Raw genomic sequence first — 25770 nt, 5'->3', positions numbered from 1 at the left:
GCTTAAACTTCCACAGATTCCCAGGACATAAACACAGTGTTGCCAAACTCTTTGCTAGGGCATAACATGGGTGACCTTGACTCCAGTTCCCAATAAATTTCTTACTTCCATCTGAGACCTTCTCAGCCTAGCCTCCACTGTCTATATTTCTATCAACACTTGGTCAGAATCACTTAACACTTCTCTAAGAAGTTCCAAACTTCCCTTATCTATCTTTTTCTGAGACCTCAAAACTCTTCCAACTTCTGCCTATTACCCAGTTCCAAAGCCAGTTCCACATTACCATCTTTATAGCAATGCCCCACTTCTTGGTAGAAATTTTCCATGTTAGTCAGTTTTTGCGTTGCTACAAAGGAATACCTGACGGGATAATTTATAAAGAAAAGAAGTTTATTTGGCTGACAGTTCTGTAGGCTTTACAGGAAGCATGGCACTAGCATCTGCTCCTGGTGAGGTCTCAGGAAGCTTACAATCATGGTGGAAGGCAAAGGGGGAGCAGGCACATCTCATAGCAAAAGCAAGAGATGTGGGGAAGGGGGAGGTGCCATGCTCTTTTAAACAAGCAGAACTCACAGGAACTATTCGAGGGAGAACTCACTTATCACCAAGGGGATGGTGTTAAACCATTCATGAGGAATCTGCACCCATGATCCAAACACTTCCCACCAGGCCCCACCTCCAACATTGAGGACTACATTTCAACACGAAATTTGGAGGAGACAAATTTCCATAATGTATCACATCCTGTCAGACTTAGCCTTTTTTTTAGCACATACTAGCTAGCTGTGTCACTTTCCCTTTCCATTAATGTTTCTGTTCCTGTGAGCATTGGTATTTAATAAGTCAGTCAGTCAATTGTATAATTTCAGATACTGAATAAATCCTATAAAGGAAATAAAATACGTTTTGGGCCTATGAAATTATGTATGTGAGTATATGTGTTTATAGAAGAAGATTGTTTATTATCTATGTATGTTGTATGTGTTGTATGTGCATGTTGTATGGGTGTTGAGTATGATTGTATGTGGTTATACATTTTCTGTGTCACGTGTTGTGTGTGGCTTTATGTGTTGAGTGTGATTGTGTGTGTGTGTTTTATTTTAGATAATGTGACAGCCAGAGATGACATCTCTGAAAATGACTTGTTGAAATTATATATCAAAAGTTTATGTTGCTGTTATGACAAGTTTATATAATTCTGTTGACTTTACACTATTAATGTGATGATGAGGAGAGAAATAAAACACATTGAACACCTCTTTTCACACATTATTTTATTCTTATAATGACTCTATGAAATAGATATTTTTATTGTTGTTCTGCAGATGAGGGGAATAGGAACTTGTTCAAGGTTGCCAAGCCATCAAGTGATACTAGAAATTGGATTTGAAATGCATTTCTTAGACTTCATAACTCATTGCTCTTTCAGCTTTACCACACCACCCATTCCTAAAGCCAGAAAAAAGACAATGGAGAGAGAAAAAAGTACAATTAGAGGTAGAGATGAGATGACGGAGAAAATTAAATGCAACAGGGAGTCATTTGGTGTCCATTGTGGCAGCATAACAGACTTGCTGGGAGTATTAATGAGTCAAAAAATGTAAAGCACATAGAACAATGCCTGGCATACAGTATGTGCTATATGCATTAACTTTTGTTATTATTACCTGCCCAATAAATTTATGGGTAAAGCTGATACAGTGTCTTGACACATGAGGTTTATGGTCTTTAATCAATACATGAGGAAGAATTGAGTGCATACTGAAGTTCAGTCGTGTGACCTGCTAGACCTCATCATGCAATCGGAAAACTAACACAAACCAACCAACCATTGTTGGAAAACATAGTCAAAGCAAAACTCATCTTTTGCCCATGAAGCTATTACAAATATATTTGGAATGTTTGTTTTGGAATTATGTAATTTTCTTAGAAATGACTCAAGAGTTTATTTAGTCACATTATCGTAGAATACTGGCTCTCAATTTTATCAGTACAAATGTCCTTCTACTATAATAATCAAAATTCATAGGTAATACACACAAAAGTTAACAATTAATATAAAATTCAGAATATATAGATATTCAAAAAACTTTCAGGAGTTTGAATAATCTCAATGAAAACGAATGTATCAAACTCCCTCAGTTAAAAGATAGAGATTAGCAGATTGAAAAATAAAGCAAAAATGAAATTATCTATATTCTACATACAAAATAGATATCTGAGGCATAGGGATACAGAAAGTTTAAGCATAAAAAGATAAAAAATAATAATCAAATGCAAACTAAAAGAAATTTGGCATAGCTGTATTAATGTCAGACAAAATATACTTTAAGATTGTTGGAGGGTAGTGATATTAATAAAAAAAACTTGACAGTCTTCAAAATTAGGTAAGACTAGTTCAAAACATACATTTATAATATGATTTTTCAGTATTAGTGATACATGCTCTAACTTAAATCTTTGGTAAGTCACAGTAACTTTCTTCTTCCAGTTAGTTACAAATGCTTATATATTTCATGTTTTATTTTATTTGAAGCCATGTTTTGAATTTAATGTGTTGTCTAGACAAAACAAACATTTAGTGTTATTATTTGCTTGTAAGCAGCTGAAGCAGGACACATTCTCATGGCACAAATGAAATCACTTCTGTTTACTGTATTGTAGTAGATAGGTGACCTCTGTTCATTAGTGAGGAAGTAAATTTAGAAGGATGGAACTTCTCAAGAAACAAGCTTTTCCTTTTTTCTTTATGATCACCTGAATAGGCCGAGTTAACTATATAGTACATGGTTCAACTGATTTACTGTGTACCTACAGAATGGGTAGGGTGTAGAAATCCGAATCATTCATTAGGAAAGGAGAAAGTCTTGGCTGTGGCAAAAGAATTAAGGACTTTCCTTTGGTATAAACTCATCCAGTTCCTTTCACCATTTATGTTGTACAAAGACTGCTATTTTGTATCAAGTTATGTTAATACTACAGTTAACTTTATCTAATGAATGCATTCTACTGGTGATTTAATATAGTAGACTTTTAAAAATTATCTTACATTAGAGATGTTGACTTCAGTGTTAGGTAATGCATGAAGGAAAGTATATTAACAGGAATTCAACTGCTGAATAATTTTGGTATTTGCTTAAATGTGAATCGATCTTCATTTGTGATGAATTCTAGTGTTTTTTTTTCCCCCTTGGAAAACCAGTGATTTTTCTTAACATTTACTATCCGATGTATGTTGTGCAGTGTGAGGTGTATCAGCACTTGAAGTTGGATCAGCCAGTGGCTGGTGATGTGGATGGTTTTTATTAATGATGTTATCATAGCAAATGAGATACTGAAATAACTCAGAGGGATTGAATGAAACACTATGAATTTAAGGTATGTTTCTAGACTGCAAATACAATAACACAGTTATACATTCTCAAAGGGAACTTATCTTTTTCTGTTTTGATGTCAAATAAGTTTGCTCGTCTATAAAAATTAAAATGAGAATAACAATAACTGAGCTAGCTAATTCACAGGATTGCTGAGAAACAAGAGAAAAGAAACACAATTATTTGTTATATGTTTATATAATAAAAATGGGGATAAGGGTGGGGCTATTGTAAGGCATTTGAAGGTAGAAGAGTTGGAAAATAAATCTGTTATAAATGAAGATGTTTGACTTAAAAGCTAAAATCCATTAAAATCTAGATTGCTTAAAAATGGGACCTATCCAAGTAAAGACTGCCATAAAAACAGATGGCTGCTTATTTTCAGTAATAATGTAATTACAATTATAATAGAAATATAATTTAAAATATTTGTAGTAATATTTTCAGTAATGAAGGCCCATGGCAGGCAATATGAATTCTTTCTGCTGTCACATGAAGATGAATTACACACATCTGAAGGACTTGATACTGGAAATATAAATTAGAGTGATGGGTTGGATTACTAGTAGTTGTGACAGTAGATAGAGTGTTTCAGTTGTTATTTATGTTGAATAAGATGCTTGTCTTGGAGCTAAGCTCTGGGGAAGAAGCTGTTTAGGTAAAGCTCTGGATTCTGTCCTATCCACTGTGTAAATAATGTGGAAAGTGGCTTCTTAGTGTGAGTGACCTCAGTGTTGTGCTTTGACAGCACTGGCCATATAAAGGCAATAGTAGTGTAGTCGATCTGGGAGAAAGAATGTCCTGGAGAACCACTCCAATGTAGTAATTACGTTCAATAAAACATGGAAGTCAATATGTGGAATTTTGCTTTATCACAACATTTATTAAAATGTAGCTGTTTTACATGCTAAGAAGCACTTGAGTAAGAGTTGAGGGACTGACTATCATAGTTTGTCTGGGGCAGAGGGGTTTCTGAGAACATGGGATTATCAATACTCAACCTGAGAAAGTCCTGGGCCAATTCGGGCAGTTGGTCACCTTAAAAGGAAAATATCAGATATACTCCTAGGGTATGGGTTGTGTAAAGTGTTATGAACATACTCTGGGAAAAAATAAAAATGACCTCCAGAATGTCATTGGAATATAGTCTTACGTAGTTTTCTGTGAGGAGCAAGAGTGAGGGAGAATTTCTGAGTATGTGGTTGCCACAGTTGTTTTCCTATGCGCTAGATTCACTTTGCAGGCATTGGATAGAAATAAAATGAGATCGTCTGCCAACACTTACAGCCTTCGGGAGAGTTTCTGGTGGAGGATGCACAATCTCATTCTAGGGATGAAAGAAAGACCAGAGAGTGGACAAGCATTTCTCGCCTGATTTGAGAAAGTCGTGACAATGATATAATTGGGAAGACGCACAAACCTCCAGAAGAGCTGATATTGTAGCACAAAGTTCTCATTCTTTGATTCCCTGCATGTAGCTAACACTTGTGGTAAGCAGCAACAGCAAAAGGAAGAGGCCCTTCTTCAGTCAGCTTGCCATAAAGAGAGGTAGTTCTTTGGCTAGGCAGGAGAAATTTTCAGGCCATCTTATAGGTTTGACTTTTACTGAATACAAGCACACCCACAAGCACACCCACATGCACACATGCACGCACCTGCGGGGATCTATGCCTGGTGCTTGAGGAATGTGATGGTAATTAAGATAAACAATAAGAGTGACTTGGACCAGTGTTCTCCACCTTGGCACTATTGACTTTTTGCGCTAAATAATTTTTTGTTGTGAGAGGCTGTCCTGGGGTGGTGTTTAGCAGCTTTCTTGGTCTGTAATTACCAGATGTCAATGGTACCTTTCTCCCAGTTGTGACAACCAAAAATGTCTTCAGACATTGCCAATTGTCCCCTGAGGGGCAAAATAGCTCTTTGTTGAGAACCACTGCTACAGATAATAATAGTTCATGGAAGCAATTAATTCCATCTCAATGTTGTCATTAATGGGGTGGGGGCTGGACCTTATTGGAAAGAGGGAAAATATGAATAATCATGGCTGTCATTTATGGAACGCTTATTACTGGTAAGGCAGTGTGCTAAGTGCTTTACATTTCTTAGCTCAATTAATCCTTACAAGGGCCTTTTGATGGTGCTATACAAGATCTCAAAATAAAAGAACTCTCAAGACTCCACAGGGTACACTCATGTAAGGCTGTAATGATTGCAAATAATATAGGACATGAGGAGAAGGAAAGTGTAGGCAATCATAGGATGTCTGAAAACACCCACTGCAGACCTGTCAAGGTCTTTTCTCAGTTGCACATGAGACATTTCATCTTTGGATTATGCACTTTTCAGATATGTGTGGGGTGTCTAAGTTCAGCATAGTTCAAATGCAGGTTTACTGAAGGGCCTTTTTCACCTTTACTGGTCACTTTGCTACAGCCAAGCTGTGTAACAAGTTAAACCAGATGCAAACCATCAATCCATATATCCTAAATAATGTAGACAAGATAATATGGAGTGCCTCCAGGGGAGTTTTGAACTTTAAATGACATGTTCTAAATCACTAGCTATTACTTCCCATTCTTGTTTTGACCAAGGGTCAGTAACAGACTTCCAGGCATCCATGGAGATAAGCACAGAGCTGCCCCAGTGCAGCCATAAGATAACCCTATCCTTGCCCAGTGTTATTGTCTCCATTTTACAGATGAGCAAATTAAGGCACTAATGTGTTAAACAGCTAGCCAAGGCCATAGAACTGACAAGTGGCAGAACTGAGATTCTTCATAGGAAGAAGTTAAGTGTCTCCGTAAAGTTGGTGCTAGTACTGAGCAAGGCTTGATTTAGGAAGACAATCCAGGTTTTACAATACTGAGTTCATTGTTTTTGGATAAATTGTCTCTGTCATTCAAGATGGACTTACCTTGAAAATTAGAGAAAATTTCAACATGCAAAAATATAGAGGCATGAGGAGTATTCAGTGAGTAGAAAGCAACTGCGAATAACTAACCATGACTTAAAGCTAGGGTGGTGTCTGAAGCTCATATAATTTTGGCAGCCCTTTTAAAACAAATGGAATATAAACTGCTTATATAGAATTAATGATGAAAGTGAATATTTAAACTGAGAAATAAAATTATAACAAATTACAGATTGGCTGAAAAATTCCAAAGACATCACATGATTTAGAAAAAAGTATTTGATACTATCTTATATCCCTCTATATTTTTTCTTATATTCTTTGGCTACATACTTTAAAAAATAGATTTCACTTTTTAAAAGTTTCAGATTTACGGAGAAGTTAAGACCCAGATTGCCCTATTATTAACATAGTACATTTGTCACTTTTTGTGTTAATGAATCAATATTGATACAATATTATTAACTAAGGTTCATAGTTTATTCAGATTTCCTTAGTTTTTACCTGAAGTCTTTTTCTGTTCTCAGACTCTATTTTTGATGACGTTGGCAGTTTTGAGGAATACTGGTCAAGTATTTTGCAGAATGCACTTCTATTAGAATTTTCAAGTTCTTTATGTGTCACAGCTGAGACTGGAAGTTGCTACATACTTTTTTTTTTTTTCTGAGACAGAGTCTTGCTCTGTCGCCCATGCTGGAGTGCAGTGGCACAATCTCTATTTACTGCAACCTCCACCTGGATTCTTGCGATTCTCCTGCCTCAGCCTTCCGAGTAGCTGGAATGACAGGTGCCCACCACCACGCCTGGCTAATTTTTATATTTTTAGTAGAGACGGGGTTTCACCATGTTGGCCAGGCTGGTTTTGAACTCCTGTCCTCAGGTAATTTACCCGACTGGGTCTCCCAAAGTGCTGGGATTAGAGGCGTGAGCCACCGGGCCCAACCTTGCTATATACTTCTTAATCACCTATTCAAGTGTAGAAATTTTTGTTATATTCTATATGTAGGGAGAGTCAGAAGGTAATTCAGTCTTTCTCTTGTATAGTTAATCAAAATAATTTCTTACTGATAATTGGAATGCAGAGAACACATAGTATCACAAGCAGATATACTCTTAGTAGTGCAGCTACAGATTTTTGTCCAAGAAACCTGGACATTCTGATAAATACTATTTCACAAAATTCAGAAAGAAGAACATGTGTGTTCATGTAATAACTGCATTAATTGCATTATTGCATGTGTTCCTGACAGATTACTTCTCTTTTGACTAGGCACAGGTGAGGCTGGATTCATTGCTTGCGTTTTTTAGATATGATGACTGGAAGAATTTTCCTTAGACTAATTTCTGGTTTTCTACATTTAAGACCTTGTTTCCCTTCCTGTATGAACATATTTCCCCAGTGTAAGACAGTCTGCCTATGCCTTTGTGTCTACATGACAGGTGGGTCAACACGGTGGGTTATAGCAGGATTCATGGAAGTCATTCCTATTATGAGAAGGCTAGCAATCACTTCAGTCTATGTGGGAGTGACTGTGAACTTTAGATCTACTCCATGAAACTCAAACTAAATGAATCATCAATTCCACTTCCTCTTGCCAGATTCCAATGCCACTCATGACTTGGGAGAGATGGTAATGAAGAGGAAGTTGATCTGTTATTTGATAATCTTTCTGAAATCTCTTATTAGTATTAAGAGGCTGTTAGTACCATACTTTTCTAGGTGGGTGAATTCATTGAATTTAAATTGAAATTATTATTTCCGTAAGTAATAATGTTGAAAAAATTGATAATAAATTGATAAATAATACAAATAAGAATAAGAATATATCATAATCAAATAGGGTTTATCCTAGGAATGTGAAGATGCTTTAGCATGCGAAAAAGCAATAATAGTAATTTGCCACATTAATTAAGGAGAAAAAACATATGATAATTTTAATTACAAATGGAAAAAAAGGATTTGATAAAGTTTAGAAGACATTTGTAAATTTATAAATTCAGAAACCTATAAGAAATATGCTTCCTGGACCTGATAAAGGTGATCTATTAAAAACATTTGGCAAGTATTATACTTAATGGAGAAACTTTAGATGCATTACCTTTCCAGATGGGCAAGAAGACAAGGATTTCACCATTACTAATTGTATTTGAGAGCATTGAAGTTCCTACACAATGCAGAAAGAAATTTTTTTAAAAAGTTAATGAAAGGTGTTAGTTTTGGAAAGGAAGAGGAAAAAAATTGTCATTTTATAGATTTTGAATATTTATTTATTTTGACTACTATTTACATTTTTTAGTATGTTTTCTTCTATTTAAATTCTGTATTTCTGTTTGTGTCAACTTGTAATTTTATAGTCTAGGAACTTATGCATATCTTCTATCTTAAAATTTACTAGCATATAGCTGATCCAAAAACTGGCTTATAATTAAAAAAACTTACATATCTAATTACTTCCCCTTTTTACTTAATTTTATTTGTATCATATGCCTTTTCATTCTCATCAGTATTAGACATTTTGGTATCTTAAAATATTTTTCAAAGGACTGTCTTCTCTATTTTATGTTGTTTGCTCTGTTCTACTCTTTCATTTGTTAAAATCTTTCTAGTGAATATTTCCTCTAAGCAGAAACTAGACTTGCTTAGAAGAATAGGAAGAATAGGAAAGCTGATAAGTTCAATAACTTATTGTTCACATTTGGTAGTTAACTACAGAGAGGTAAAGTTAACAATATGCTTGCCAGGAAAATTATAAATAAAAAATGAAAAAAAATTCTGGCAGTCAGGGTGCAATTGGAACATTTTGCACTAAGACAAGTTGTTAATCATCCAGCTGTGCTCTTGGTTAATAACTCATAGAATGTAAGAAGAAAACATGACTGACATTTTCCTACCAATGTGGTTTTAGTGTACTGGGCTGACAGAATGCTGCTGGTAAAATTAGAAGATAAATTATGGGTAAAGGGAAAATAATTTATCTGTTTTAGGTGTAAGTTGAATACTTTTCATTGGTTTGAAGCATCTACAATACTCTGCATTCTCCTTTAATAGCCTGGTGGCCTTATAAAGCCATTATATGATTGTCTAAAAATTATATAGGTAAAATTTTTGCTTTTCAAGCTTTGTAAGTGGAGATGATTGGTAGCTTTTTCAAAAGATTCAAGATGGTAAAATTTTGTAGTCTTAAAATTGTTGTCTTCTCATTTTCATATATTCTATGCATCCTGGCCTATGAAAGAAAGCAATTACCTTACAAAAGAAAGAAACGGACAAATTTATAATACTCTAATACTTTAGTTGGGGTAACTAAATCACCTATGTCTTAAGTATAAAGAATAAAAGGCAAAATTATTAAAATCAATAACTGTAACAATTGGCTAAGAGATAGGCAACATAAAATGATATAAACGGAAACATCAGTAAGTCAAAATGTGGGGGAGAATGGTATTAAAGTGCAGAGATTTTTTTTGGTTACTTTTCTTTGTGATCAAAGGTAAGTCATTATCAGTTTAAAATAACCTGTTATAATGTGCTTTTTGTAAGCCTCATGGTAACCACGAAGCAAATACCTATAATAGATATACCAAAATAAATAGTGTAGAATCAAAATGTATTACTGAAAATCACTTAAGCACAAAGGAATATGGCAAAAGAGGAAAAGAGAAAGAAAGAATCTATAAAACAACCAGAAAACATGTAATAAAATGGCAATAGTAAACCTTTACCTCTCAATAATAAATTTGAATGTAAATTGATTAAATTCTCTAATTAAAAGACATAGAGTGACTAAATAGATTAAAAAAAAACAAGACCCAACTACATGCTGTCTACAAGATCACTTCACCTATGAAGACACACACAGGTGGAAAGTGAAGGAATGGAAAAAGATATTCCATGCAAATGGAAACCAAGAAAGAGCAGCAGGAGTTATACTTAACATCAGATAAAATAGGCTTTTAGTCAAGAATGATAAAAAAGACAAAGAAGGCCATTATATAATAATGAAGGGGTCAGCACAGCAAGAGGATATAACAATCATAAATATATATGCACCCAACACTGGAGCACACAAATATATAAAACAAATATTAGTAGACCTAAAAGGAGAGATTGACTGCAACACAGTAATAGTAGGGGATTTTGACATCCTCTTTCAACAATGGACAGATTGTCCAGAGGGAAAATCAACACCAACAAAAAAATCAGAGTTAAATTGTGCTCTAGACCAAGTGGACCTAACAGCAGACATTTACAAAACATTCCATCCAACAGCTGCTGAGTACACATATTTCTCAACAGCACACAGAAAATCTTTTAGGATAGACAGACCACACGGCATGTCACAAAACAATTCTTAACAAATTAAAAAAAAAAAAAACAGAACAGCCATAAAAAAGAATGAGATCATGTCCTTTGCAGGGACTTGGATGGAGCTGGAAGCCATTATCCTCAGCAAACTAACAAAAGAACAGAAAACCAAACACTGCATGTTCTCACTTATAAGTATTAGCTGAACAATGAGAACACATGGACACAAGGAAGGGAACAACACAGACTGGGGCCTGTTGGAGGGGTGGGGGAAGGGAGAGCATCAGGATAAATAGCTAACGCATGTGGGTCTTGATATTTAGATGATGGATAGGTGTAGTAAACCACCATGGCACATGTTTACCTATGTAACAAACCTGCACATCTTGCACATGTATCCCAGAAGTTAAAATAAAATAAAACAAAAAACAACAAAATAACATCCAGTATTTTTTCTGACTACAGTGGAGTAAACTGGAAATCAATAATGGAAGTAATATTGGAAACTATAAATTCATAAAAATTAAATAACATACTTCTAATAATGAATGGGTCAATGAAGAAATAAAAAAAGAAATTAAAAATTTCCTAGAGAAAAATGAAAATGGAAACACAACATACCAAAACCTATGGGATACAGCAAAAGCAGTTCTAGGAGGGGAGTTTTGTTTTTGTTTTTGCTTGAAACTGCTATTTACTGGTTGAAATATAATGTTGTTAAGATAGGCAAAATCCTAATTAAAATTTTAACTAAACAAAATTTTAAAAATGTATCCTATTTGCCATAAATTTTTCTAGGTGCTGAGCATACAGTAGTGAATATTACTGACAAATATCCTTAAGACAGGAGTTCTTAGCAATAAACACCTATATCAAAAAGTAGAAAGGCTGAATAAACAACCTAATGATGCACCTCAAGCAAATAGAAAAGTAAGAACAAACCAAACATAAAAGTAGTAGAAGGAAATAAATAATAAAGATTAGAGCAAAAATAAATGAAATGGAGACTTAAAAAAGATCAATGAAACAAAAGTTGGTGTTTTGAAAAGATAAACAAAATTGACAAATCTTTAGCTAGACTAAGCAAAAAGAGAGAAGACTCACATAAAATCTGAGATCAAAAAGAAGACGTTACAACTGATAACACAGAAATACAAGGGATTATTAGAGACTACTATGGTAACTATATGCCAACAAATTGTAAAACCTACTAACAAATAGATAAATTCCTGGACATATAGAACCTACCAAGATTGAACCATGAAAAAAATAGAAATCCTGTTTAGACCAATAATGTATAACATGATTAAAACAGTAATAAAAAGTCTCCCATCAAAGAAAAGCCCAGGACCTGATGGCTTCACTACTGAATCTATAAAAGATTTAAATAAGAGCCAACACCAATTCTACTCAAACTATTCCAAAAAGTTGAAGAGGCGGGAATACTTCTATTCTCATTCTATGAAGCTAACATTACCCTGATATCAAAACCAGACAAGGACGCACCAAAAACGAAAGCTACAGGCCAGTATCCCTGAGAAGCAGAAATGCGAAAATCAACAAAATACTAACAAATTGAATTCAACAGCATTTAAAAGGATTATTCACTATGATCAAGGGAGATTTATCCTTGGGATGCAAGGGTGATTCAAATGTGCATATCAATAAATGTGATACACCATACTAACGGAATGAAGGACAAAAATCAAACAATCATCTCAGTAGATGCAGAAAAGGCATTTGACAAAATTCAACATCTGCTTATGATAAAAACTCTCAGCAAATTAGATATAGAAGAAGTATACCTCAACAAAATAAAGACCATATTTGTATGACAGATCCACAGCTAATATCATACTCAATGGTGAAAAATTGAAAGCTTTTTCTCCAAGATCAGGAACAAGACAAGGATGTCCACTCTTGTCACTTCTACTCATCATAATAATAGAATTTCTAGCAAAAGCAATCAGTAAAAAGAGAAAAAATGGTATTCAAATTGGGAAAGGAGAAGTTAAATAGTCCCTGTTTGCACACTACTTGATCTTATATATAGGAAATCCTAACCACTCCACCAAAAACACTGTTAGAATTGATAGACAAATTTAGCAAAATTGCAGGTTACAAAACCAACATAAAAATATTAGTAGTGCTTCTACACATCAATAGCAAACAATCTGAAAAAAAAAATCAAGAAGGCAATCACTTTTATAATAGCTACAAAAAGTACCTAGGAATAAATTTAATCAAAGAAGTGAAAGATCTTTATACAAAACTATAAAATACTGATGAAAGAAATTGAAGAGAAGACGCACACAATAAAATGGAAAGTATCACTTTCTTATGGCTTAGAAGACTTAATATTTTTAAAATGTTCACACTATCCAAAGCAATCTACAGATTCATTGTAATATTTGTCAAAACACCTAAGATGTTCTTCACAGAAGTAGAAAAAAATTCCTAAAATTTATATGGAACCACAGAAGACTCCAAATAGCCAAAGCAACTATGAGCAAAAAGAACAAAGCTGGGGGCATCACACTACTTAATTTCAAAATATCCTACAAGGCTATAGCAACCCAAACAGCATGAAAATGTCATAAATACAGCAGCTATAGCCTTATGAAATGTATTTCTTAAAATCAATACTTGAAAATCAGAATTATTCCTTGATCCATGGGCTGCAAAATAAATGTTTTGTTAGCAGGCATGAAAACAACAGTAATCTCTTTTTACATCTCCATCAGAGTTCTCAGTTGACTAGGAGCATTGTAAATGAGCACTAATATTTTGAAGTGATTTTTTTTTTTCTGAGCAGTAGGTATCAACAATGGGCTTAAAATATTCAGTAAATTGGATCTGCTGACCATATGGCCAAACAGGAACAGCTCCAGTCTGCAGCTCCCAGCGAGATCGACATAGAAGGTGGGTGATTTCTAAATTTCCAACTGAGGTACCCGGTTTATCTCATTGGGACTGGTTGGACAGTGGGTGCAGCCCACAGAGGGTGAGCTGAAGCAGGGTGGGGTGTCACCTCACCTGGGAGGTGCAAGGGGTCATGGGCTTTCCCTCCCCTAGCCAAGGGAAGCCGTGAGGGGCTGTGCCATGAGGAACAGTGCACTCTGGCCCAGATACTGCATTTTTCCCCACAGTCTTCACAACCCACAGACCAGGAGATTCCCTCTGGTGCCTATGCCACCAGGGTCCTGGGTTTCAAGCACAAAACTGGGGAGCCCTTTGGGCAGACACTGAGCAGCTGCAGGAGTTTTTTTTTTTTTTTTTCATACCCGAGTGGCACCTGGAATGCCAGTGAGACAGAACCGTTCACTCCCTGGGAAAGGGGGCTGAAGCCAGGGAGCAAAGTGGTCTGGCTCAGCAGTTCCCACCCCCATGAGCCCAGCAAGCTAAGATCCACTGGCTTGAAATTCTTGCTGCCAGCACAGCAGTCTGTGGTTGACCTGGAACACTTGAGCTTGGTAGGGGGAGGGGTGTCCACCATTGCTGAGGCTTGAGTAGGCGGTTTTACCCTCACAGTGTAAACAAAGCCACTGGGAAGTTTGAATTTGGTGGAGCCCACCACAGCTCAGCAAGGCCGCTGCAGCCAGACTGCCTCTCTAGATTCCTCCTGAAAAAAAGGCAGTAGCCCCAGTCAGGAACTTATAGATAAAACCCCCATCTCCCTGAGACAGAGCACCTGGGGGAAGGGGCATCTGTGGGTGTAGCTTCAGCAGACTTAAACGTCCCTGCCTGACGGCTCTGAAGAAAGCAGTGGATCTCCCAGCACAGCATTCGAGTTCTGATAAGGGTCAGAGTGGCTCCTCAAGTGGGCCCCTGACCTCTGTGTATCCTGACTGGGAAACACCTCCCAGTAGGGGCCGACAGACATCTCCTACAGGAGAGCTCTGGCTGGCATCTGGTCGATGGCCCTCTGGGACAAAGCTTCCAGAGGAAGGAACAGATAGCAATCTCTGCTGTTCTGCAGCCTCTGCTGGTGATACCCAGGCAAACAGGGTCTGGAGTGGACCTCCAGCACACTCCAGCAGACCTGCAGCAGAGGGGCATGTAAGAAGGAAAACTAACAAACAGAAAGGAATAGCATCAACATCAACAAAAAGGACATCCACTCAGAGGCCCCATCTGAAGGTCACCAACATCAAAGACCAAAGGTAGATAAATCCACGAAGATGGAGAGAAACCAGTGCAAAAAGGCTGAAAATTCCGAAAACCAGAATGCCTCTTCTCCTCCAAAGGATCACAACTCCTCGCCAGCAAGGGAACAAAACTGAATGGAGAATGAGTTTGATGAATTGACAGAAGTAGGCTTCAGAAGGTGGGTAATAACAAACTCCTCCGAGTTAAAGGAGCATGTTCTAACCCAATGCAAGGAAGCTAAGAACTTTGAAAAAAGGTTAGATGAATTGCTAACTAGAATAATCAGTTTAGAGAAGAGCATACATGACCTGATGGAGCTGAAAAACAGTATGAGAACTTCATGAAGCATGCACAAGTATCGATAGCCGAATCGATCAAGTGGAAGAAAGGATATCAGAGATTGAAGATCAACTCAATGAAATAAAGCGAGAAGACAAGATTAGAGAAAAAAGAATAAAGAGAAACAAACAAAGCCTCCAAGAAATATGGAACTATGTGAAAAGACCAAATCTACGTTTGATTGGTGTAACTGAAAGTGACGGGGAGAATGGAGACCTTCCCCAACCTAGCAAGACTGGCCAGCATTCAAATTCAGGAAATACAGAGAACACCACAAAGATACTCCTCAAGAAGAGCAACCCCAAGACACATAATTCTCAGATTCACCAAGGTGGAAATGAAGGAAAAAATGTTAAGGGCAGCCAGAAAGAAAGGCCAGGTTACCCAAAAAGGAAACCCCATCAGACTAACAGTGGATCTCTCTGCAGAAACCCTACAAGCCAGAAGAGAGTGGGGATCAGTATTCAACATTCTTAAAGAATTTTCAACCCAGGATTTCATATCCAGCCAAACTAAGCTTCACAAGTGAAGGAGAAATAAAATCCCTTACCCACAAGCAAATGCTGAGAGATTTTGTCACCACCAGGCCTGCCTTACAAGAGCTCCTGAAGGAAACACTAAACATGGAAAGGAACAACCGGTACCAGCCACTGCAAAAACATACCAAATTGTAAAGACCATCGACACTATGAAGAAACTGCATCAAGTAACGGGCAAAGTAACCAGCTAGCATCATAATGACAGGATCAGATTCACACATAACAATATTAACCTTAAATGTAAATAGGCTAAATGCCACATTTAAAAGACACAGACTGGCAAATTGGATAGAGTCAAGACCCATTAGTGTGCTATATTCAGGAGACCCATCTCATGTGCAAGACATACATAGGCTCAAAATAAAGGGAAGGAGGAATATTTAACAAGCAAATGGAAACCAAGAAAAGGCAGGAGTTGCAATCCTAGTCTCTGATAAAACAGACTTTAAACCAACGAAGATCAAAACAGACAAAGAAGGGCATTACATAATGGTAAAGGATCAATTCAACAAGAAGAGCTAACTATCCCAAGTATATGTGCACCCAATACAGGAGCACCCAGACTCATAAAGCAAGTTCTTAGGGACCTACAAAGAGACTTAGACTCCCACAAAATAATAGTGGGAGACTTTAACACCCCACTGTCAATATTAGACAGATCAACGAGGCAGAAAATTAACAAGGATATTCAGGACTTGAACTCAACTCTGGACCAAGCAGAACTAATAGACATCTACAGAACTCTCCATCCCAAACGAACAGAATATACATTCTTCTCAGCACCACATCACACTTATTCTAAAATTGACCACGTGATTGGAAGTAAAACACTCCTCAGCAAACGCAAAAGAATGGAAATCATAACAAACAGTCTCTCAGACCACAGTGCAATCAAATTAGAATTTAGGATTGAGAAACTCACTCAAAACTGTGCAACTACATGGAAATTGAACAACCTGCTCCTGAATGACTACTAGGTAAATAATGAAATGAAGGCAGAAATAGAGATGTTCTTTGAAACCAATGAGAACAAAGATACAACGTACCAGAATCTCTGGGACACATTTAAAGCAGTGTGTAGAGGGAAATTTATAGCACTAAATACCCACAAGAGAAAGCAGGAAAGATCTAAAATCGACACCCTAACATCACAATTAAAAGAAGCAGAGAAGCAAGAACAAACAAATTCAAAAGCTAGCAGAAGACAAGAAATAACTGAGATCAGAGCAGAACTGAAGGAGATAGAGACACAAAAAATCCTTCAAAAAATCAATGAATACAGGAGTTGGTTTTTTGAAAAGATCAACAAAATAGATAGAATGCCAGCAAGACTAATAAAGCAGAAAAGAGAGAAGAATCAAATAGATGCAATAAAAAAATGATAAAGGGGCTATCACCACCAATTTCACAGAAATACAAACTACCGTCAGAGAATATTATAAACACCTCTATGCAAATAAACTAGAAAATCTAGAAGAAATGGATAAATTCCTGGACACATACACCCTCCGAAGTCTAAACCAGGAAGAAGTTGAATCCTAAATAGACCAATAACAAGTTCTGAAATTGAGGCAGTAATTAATAGCCTACCAACAAAAAAAGTCCAGGACCTGATGGAGTCACAGCTGAATTCTACAAGAGGTAAAAAGAGGAGCTGGTACCACTCATTCAGAAACTATTCCAAACAATAGAAAAAGAGGGAATCCACCCTGACTGATTTTATGAGGCCAGCATTATCCTAATAGCAAAACCTGGCAGAGACACAACAGAAAAAGAACATTTCAGGCCAATATCCCTGATGAACATCGATGCGAAAATCCTCAATAAAATACTGGCAAACCAAATCAAGCAGCACATCAAAAAGCTTATCCACAATGAGGAAGTTGGTGTCATCCCTGGGATGCAAGGCTGGTTCAACATACACAAATCAATAAACTTAATCCATCACCTAAACAGAACCAATGACAAAAACATCTATCTCAATAGATGCAGAAAAGGCCTTTGACAATATTCAACATCGCTTCATTCTAAGAACTGTCAATAAACTAGGTATTGATGGAACGTATCTCAAAATAGAGCTATTTATGACAAACCCACAGCCAATATCATACTAAATGGGCAAAAACTGGAAGCATTCCCTTTGAAAACCGGCATAAGACAAGGTTGCCCTCTCTCACCACTCCTATTCAACATAGTATTGGAAGTTCTGGCTAGGGCAATCAGGCAATAGAAAGAAAAAAACGGTATTCAAATAGGAAAAGAGGAAGTCCAATTGTCCCTGTTTGCAGATGACATGATTGTATATTTAGAAAACCCCATCCTCTCAGCCCAAAATCTCCTTAAGCTGATAAGCACCTTCAGCGGTCTCAGTATACAAAATCAATGTGCAGAAATCACAAGCATTCCTATACACCAATAACAGACAAACAGAAAGCCAAATCATGAGTGAACTCTCATTCACAATTACTACAAAGATAATAAAATACCTAGGAATCCAACTTACAAGGGATGTGAAGGACCTTTTCAAGGAGAACTACAAACCACTGCTCAAGGAAATAAGAGAGGACACAAACAAATGGAAAAACATTCCATGCTCATGGATAGGAAGAATCAATATTGTGAAAATGGCCACGTTGCCCAAAGTAATTTATAGATTCTTTGCTATCTCCGTAAAGCTACCATTGACTTTCTTCACAGAATTGGAAAAAAATTACTTTAAATTTCATATGGAACCAAAAAAGAGCCCACATAGCTAAGACATTCCTAAGCAAAAAGAACAAAGCTGGAGGCATCACGCTACCTGACTTTGAACTACAATACAAGGCTACAGCAACCAAAACAGCTTGGTACTGGTACCAACACAGATATATACACCAATGGAACAGAACAGAGGCCTCAGAAATAGCACCACACATCTACAACCATCTGATCTTTGACAAACATGATAAAAACAAGCAATGGGGAAAGGATTCCCTATTTAATAAATGGCGTTGGGAAAACTGGCTAGCCATATGCCAGAAACTGAAACTGGACCCCTTCCTTACAACTTGTACAAAAATTAACTCAAGATGGATTAAAGACTTAAACGTAAGACCTAAAACTATAAAAACCCCAGAAGAAAACCTAGGCAGTGCCATTCAGAACATAGCCGTGGGCAAAGACTTCATGACTAAAACACCAAAAGCAATGGCAACAGAAGCCAACATTGACAAATGGGATCTAATTAAACTACAGAGCTTCTGCACAGCAAAAGAAACTATCATCAGAGTGAACAGGCAACCTACAGAATGAGAGAAAATTTTCTCAATCTATCCATCTGACAAAGGGCTAAGAATCTACAAAGAACTTAAACACATTTACAAGAAAAAAGCAACCCCGTCAAAAAGTGGGCAAAGGATATGAACAGACTCTTCTCAAAAGAAGACATTTATGCGGCCAACAAACATACGAAAAAAAGCTTACCATCACTGGTCATTAGAGAAATGCAAATCAAAATCACAATGAGATACCATCTCACACCAGTTAGAATGGCGATCATTAAAAAGGAAACAACAGATGCTGGAGAGGATGTGGAGAAATTGGTATGATTTTACACTGCTGGTGGGAGTGTAAATTAGTTCAACTATTTTGGAAGACAGTGTGGCAATTCCTCAAGGATCTAGAACTAGAAATACCATTTGACGCAGCAATCTCATTACTGGGTGTATACCCAAAGGATTATAAATCATTCTACTATAAAGACACATGCACAGGTATGTTCATTGCAGCACTGTTGACAATAGCAAAGACTTGGAACCAACCCAAAAGACCATCAGTTTTAGACTGGGTAAGGAAAATGTGGCACATATACACCATGGAATACTATGCAACCCTGAAAAAAGGATGACTTCATGTCCTTTGCAGGGAAATGGATGATGCTGGAAACCATCATTCTCAGCAAACTAACACAAGAACAGAAAACCAAACACTGCATGTTTTCACTCATAAGTGGGAGTTGAACAATGAGATCACAGGGGGCGGGGAGCATCACACACTGGGCCTGTCTGAGGGTGGGAGCTGGGGGAGGGATGGCATTAGGAGAGATACCTAATGTAGATGACAGGTTGATGGGTGCAGCAAACCACCATGGCACGTGTATACCTATGTAACAAACCTGCATATTCTGCACATGTAACTCCAGAACTTAAAGTATAATAACTATAATAAAAAGGAGACAGATCCATCCATGGTTTTGGAATCTAGGTTTCTGCTTCCTTTTTTCTTCCTTCCGTCCTGCCCCCTTTTCATTAATTTACTGTGTGTTTTCCTCAAAATCTCACTTTTTGTTTATTTTTATTTTACTTTATTTCTCCCAAATTTATTTATTTTTGAATAAACAATACTTGCACATAGCAGCAAATTAAAATTCAAAATGACACAAAATTTACAATATATATGTAAGTATTGACTGTTTATTTATATACACATACACACCCACACATATCAACCTAGTTCTTCATCTTGTTTTTTACCCAAGAATTATTATGGAGATTTTTGATGTTATTATATATTTAGAGAACTGTCTAATCATTTTAAGGTCTCAATATTATTCCTTATGTGGGCATAGAACAAAATATACTGGTTTCCTACTAATAAAGACTTAGGTTGTTTCCAAATTCCAGGTCTTGACAAAGTAGTAATGAATATCTTTGCAAAAACTTCATTGTGAATACGTGTACAATCTTTGGATGATGTTCTAGAAATGCAATGGTTGTTTTGAAAGGGTATGTGAGTTGATGATTTGTATAGATGTTAAGGCCTTAATTTGAAATAGCGTCTGTTTTAGGTAATACAGCAACAGAGGATGTGTAGTTAACTCCAGAATTTAGTGAAGTTTATCTACATGTTAGCCATATAGGAATCTCCAGAGAGTGAAGGAGACTCCTATTGGTAAAAACCCTATTGAGAAAATGTCATAGGCAGTGAGAAGCAAGAAATCCCATCCTGTGGCAGTGCAGGAGAGCCAGGACTCTTATTCTGATATTAGCCAGGGTTTTAATTTTGTGAGTTTTTCTGAGACATCACAGAAAGTCCTTTGTTTAAAATATTTCAAAGTCAGAAAAAAAATTCAACTTGTAGTTCAGAAGGTAGAGAAATTAGAAACATCTGGTAAATTTGGTTGCAGACATGGCTTGTGTTGACATGGAGATGTAATAACCAGGAGGTTGACTAGTCTGGTCTAATTCTGGTGAATAATATTTTCTCAGCAGTCTCCTGGCCACAAAGTATCAAAAGGCATTGGGAACATGCTGTAAAGTGCCTTGATGCCCAGAACAATTACACTCTGGAAACATTCTCTTGGCCCGGCTGAAAGTGACCCATGACCACAGCTCAGTTCATTCCACAAACATAATTAGTCACAAAGCCATGTGGAATAACACTCTGCAGGACTTTCCTGTGTTGACTTTCTTAGTGCATGTTATCATGACGGGCCTTCACACCTTGGAATGATATTGGCTTGGAATAGTAGGGATGAAAAATAGTGCAACACTTTGCTTTATGTAATTATATACATTTTATTTTTCGTGTGGTTATTGACTGTATTCTTTTTAGAGCTTTCTTATATATGAGTGGGGCCTGTCTAAAAGTCTATGTCTTAAAGTTTTAAATTTTTGACTATTTTAGTATTATGTAAACAACATGTCAATTAATAGTGTCTTAAGAAACAGATTGACCTTCATTTTGTTCCAGTACTTCTGTGTCTTTCTGATCGTTTCCTGATCACATGAGAGAAAATTAATTACTTCCCTTTCATGTAATACATATGTACGTCAAATATAATCCAGTTGATTTACTTGTCACTTTGTATTTTAATTTATTTATATGCCTGTTTCTAATTAGATGTCTACTCCTCAAAGTTAGGACTGTTTTATTTTATAAATATATTCTTGGTGACTGCTGGAGTACTGAGTACATGATAAGTGAAGAATAAATATTTATAATATGAATAAATTAGTCTGTTAATTACAGGAACACAAGGTGCTTTGATATGAGATCCAATCTAACCACTAACACTCATTTTTTTCTGCCATGGTTTAATTCTTGCATCTGGTTTTCTTAAAGCTTTTTTACTAATGCATATTGCTGAGTAATTTTCCAAAGGCAATTGTAAATTTCTAAGTGTTTACTTTGAAAGCATCAGTATGTAATTTTGTAACTAGTCAATATAGACCAATTTTGTGATGCTACTTTTAAAAACTTCTGAGGATTCTATTATCTGATGAGAAGAGTTAGTTTGTTCCAATAAAAAGTTAACGTGTTTGTTTTCTACTTTACCTGGACCTAAACAACATAAGCTAAACCTAAACCTAAACATAAACATAAACAACATAACCTAAAACATTTACAAGATATTGTATCTAATTAAAGAAGCTTCAAAAAATATTTTTCAACAGGAATCCATTGTCTGAATTACTTATAAACCATCACCATCAAATAGTGTTTATTGAACATCCATGTGTGTCTGCTACACCCCAGATTGCTATACCAATTAAGTCAGCTATGCTTTCCAGATTGAGTCAATACACAGTATCCTGTTTTTATGGTTCTTTTCAACTTGGATTTGGTATCCCTCTAATTTTATTTGTGTAGAATTCTATTTGCTTTAAAGTTAAACATGACTTTTAGTTATTGTTCCTTCCTTTGTCACTTTTAATTTTCAGCATACATTCAGTTTGTTTGTTGGAAAAAACCATTTTCTTAGCCATGTTTGCCCTGAGACTCCTCCCCTGCCCTTTATGTTTATGTAGGCCAGCCAAATTTCATGTCTGAACCTTTATCCTTTCTTTAGGTAGGTATACAGATGTATTAAGGAATCATCTGACAAGACACAATTATGTTATAATATAGCTTTTGTGTTTTGAGAGGGCTAGGGGATGTGATCCAAAATATGAGAAGTTTTTATTTATAATGGAGAATGTTGGGAGATTATGTTAGTAATTGGGTCCAGCTATGTTATACAGCTTTGAAAAAATTATTTAATTTTTCTGAGGCTTGGTTTTCTTGTCTTTAAAATGTTGTGAAGATTAGAAATAATGTTCTTAGAGCATCTTGCACAGCTAAAATACAGTAGGCACTAAAAATGATGGCTGGTAACAGAATCTACAGCTAAAGAAAAAGTAATAAATTGTCTTGTTTGTGAATTGATATCTGTGTGATGTGCATGCAGCTGCTCACATTTATGTTGTCCACAGCAGACCCTGCCAATTAGTCAGCACTCTTTTCCATGGAGTCTGGGTGCAGCTTATGAGTTACAGCAATTAACTCATAGGCAACTATTGCCAGTTAACCCAAGAAGGGAAATGAGTTGCATCCCATTTTTTCATCCCTCATATAGCCTCATCCTTTCATTTTACAGAAGAGAAAACTAAGGCTCAGAGAAGTTATGTAATTTCCTCAAGATGACACATTGAGGCATGGTCAGAACCTTGTACTAGAAGTCATAACTCTTACTTCAGTTCTCCATCAGCTGAAACATCTGTCTGTTTTGTTCATCTTATTTCATAACTAGAACGTGTACTAGCCAGAACTCTTAATTCAGTTCTCCATCAGCTGAAACATCTGTCTCTTTTGTTCATCTTCTTTCATAACTGGGGTAGAGATTCATATAATTTGCCATTTTTTTTCTAGAGCAAATAAATTAACTCATGATTTTCTTGAGGTAATATTTGTGGGTTCATATAAATGAGCCACACTGACCACTTTACACTGGTGATAATATGTTTTTTTAAATATCAAAAATATATTTTTGATTCAAACCTTATGTTCTCTTGCCTTTCAGAAAGGAAAAAGGAAGAAGCAGAGGGTCAGCAGATGTTGAAAGAGGTATAATCAAGGTAAACACTTAGCTAGGAAGTGGTTTCCTAAGCAAGGGTTGCTCTAAAAATTTCCCACATACCCTCCTTTGGTTGTTGGACTTTTATTTTTTTTTTCTGGTCTAAATATTATGCTGTAAATTTTGGGTTGGAATCTACTGAAGCTGGCAACAGTTAAATTAATCCTTCTTTTCACTGAAAACATGCTTATGCTTGCTAACAACTGCAAGATTAATTGGGACTTACTTAGCCAAAGGAAAAACAGGATGTGAAAAGACAATGTGAAGTTTCTGTCTCGTCACTTACTCCCTCTGTCCCTACTGTTTTTGTTTGTTTTAGTTACATTTTCAAACATTCTCTCATTTTCCCATGTTCTGTGTTCACCTTAGAAAATCTTCTAATAGCACAGATGACAAACAGGAGTTCCAGAAATGCTGACTCATCACAGCAGAAGGCCAGTGGTTTGGCAGGAATCTTAACTTGCAAATGTCAAGACTGGCCCTTTTAAAAATAAGTCCATGGCAGCAGATGTCACTATTGGTCTATCTTAACTCTGGGGCACTTGTTGACAAAGCAAATGCCATGAGCCTAGAAGCCCAGTAATCATAGATTTTAGACATTTCATGATGACTTGTGGCACCAATATAATGGTCAATTTCTCATACCTGAAACCTAATTTAATTATATAGAACTTTTAATATTATGATTATTGTATTTTAACATTAGTGTCATTTTTCCTTTTTTAACATAAATCTTTTCCATGAAGTCCATATTTTTTTCTTACCTCCCTCTTTCTGCTTTCTGTTCCTAATCATGGGACAACTTTCTCTTTTCTGCTTATATGTGCTTATTTGTTCATGTAAGCGTCCCCATAATTCTCATGTTTTGCAAGATACTTTCTTCAATGTTAATTTTTGTGCTATTAACTACAATGCAATTAACCTTTACTTTTCTTAAAAAGCAAAGTTGTGCAAGTAATTTGCCTGCTGTCTCTCAGCAACGTGTCCTCCTTTTTTGACACTAGTTTGTAATGCTAGGGCTGTGACTTTGCAGATTTCATACCTCTGATTCCCTTGGCAGCTTTTTGAAAGTATTGGAGTGAGACTTGAAGTTATTGAGGAATGGGGATTGGAAGAGGAGACAAGACTTCCTTCCTGTTTTAAAATTTGTTTTATTCTTGCTGGCTTCAACTCTAAAATGGCAGTTCTCCTAAGCGTTAGTTGGTGGCCTCCATTGTGGAAGTGGCTCCAGCCTCCAGTTCCTGTTGGCACTTCCAGAAATGCCTGAACATTTCCCTCAGAGAGCCAGCAGCAGCCAACCCAAGCCTCTTCCTTAGAGCACCAGGTCTGGTGGCTCCTCCTCCTGTTATCCCCATCTTTTCCCATTTATTTCCCTAACCTCAGGCATTGTAGCTACTTCCTGAGTTACCTTTATGTGACTTTACTTATTCAACCTTCTGACACCTGTGAAACCAGTTTCTTCCATTAAATCCTCTCTGTTGGAAACAATTTGGTTTCTGTTTTCTAAACTTGTCTAATATATCTGTACATAGTCATATATATTTTAAATTATATGTAATGTTAAAAATAGTAAAAGCAAATAAATTAATTCCATTGTGTTTCTGATTTATATTTTAAAAATGCTTTTTTGATTTGGGCTTTTAGCATGTCATATATATGTGACGATTTTGATGGCTTGATATGGAGTATATCTTATGAAATGTATACATAGCTCCAAATGTCACCAAAGCAAAAATTGGTATGAACATTGATAGTAATTTTTCCTTGCAAAAGGATCTTATCCTGGAGTTCCAGTTAGGTTTTACAATTACTGAAATGACTTGCTGTCTATTTTCTATCCTTGTTTAGCTCATACTCCATTAAACAGAAAGCAAACTAAGAGCTGGAGAGATGAAGAGACTTGGTCAACATCATACATGTGAGTGGTTGGAAACCTGAGGTGGACCCCAATCCAATTTTCTTTACTTTGCCTCAAGCGGCCTATAGTTGCTCATGATTTTAGATGTATCCATTGCAAGCATTTGCTAGCATTTGGCAAGAAATGAGCATAAATGAAATAACTAATCCAGGATTTTTTAAACTAATCATCATTATATTAATGTACTATGCTGATGAACTTAAGTTGGAAAAGAGTGTTGGAGAACTTGTTACCTTTCTATTAAAGTCAATTACTTCTTTATAATTAATATTTATTCATACATCCACACTCAGTCAACTAACACTTACTAGTATGGAGTAATGTAATGTAATATAATGACTTAGGTCAATGTATTAATGTC

At 36.2% G+C, this 25770-nt stretch overlaps 1 protein-coding gene across 3 annotated transcripts in view; it reads left to right on the top strand.

Moving 5' to 3' along the window:
• COL5A2 (collagen type V alpha 2 chain) overlaps positions 1 to 25770 on the top strand; it is a 409214-nt gene that overhangs the window by 69478 nt on the left and 313966 nt on the right. For 2 of the 3 annotated variants that reach the window (XM_047443252.1, XM_047443251.1), the window contains 2 exons: positions 23438 to 23492; positions 25340 to 25409. The exons of the other annotated variant lie outside the window; for it this stretch is intronic. The gene's annotated coding sequence lies outside the window, so the exon portion shown is untranslated. The remainder of the gene's footprint in view (positions 1 to 23437; positions 23493 to 25339; positions 25410 to 25770) is intronic. 3 annotated transcript variants of the gene reach the window in all.

This window comes from Homo sapiens, chromosome 2 (assembly GCF_000001405.40).
Source record: "Homo sapiens chromosome 2, GRCh38.p14 Primary Assembly".
Lineage (NCBI taxonomy): Eukaryota > Metazoa > Chordata > Mammalia > Primates > Hominidae > Homo > Homo sapiens.
Note: the sequence above shows the minus strand (reverse complement) of the source record. Positions and strands in the feature narration are given on the sequence as shown.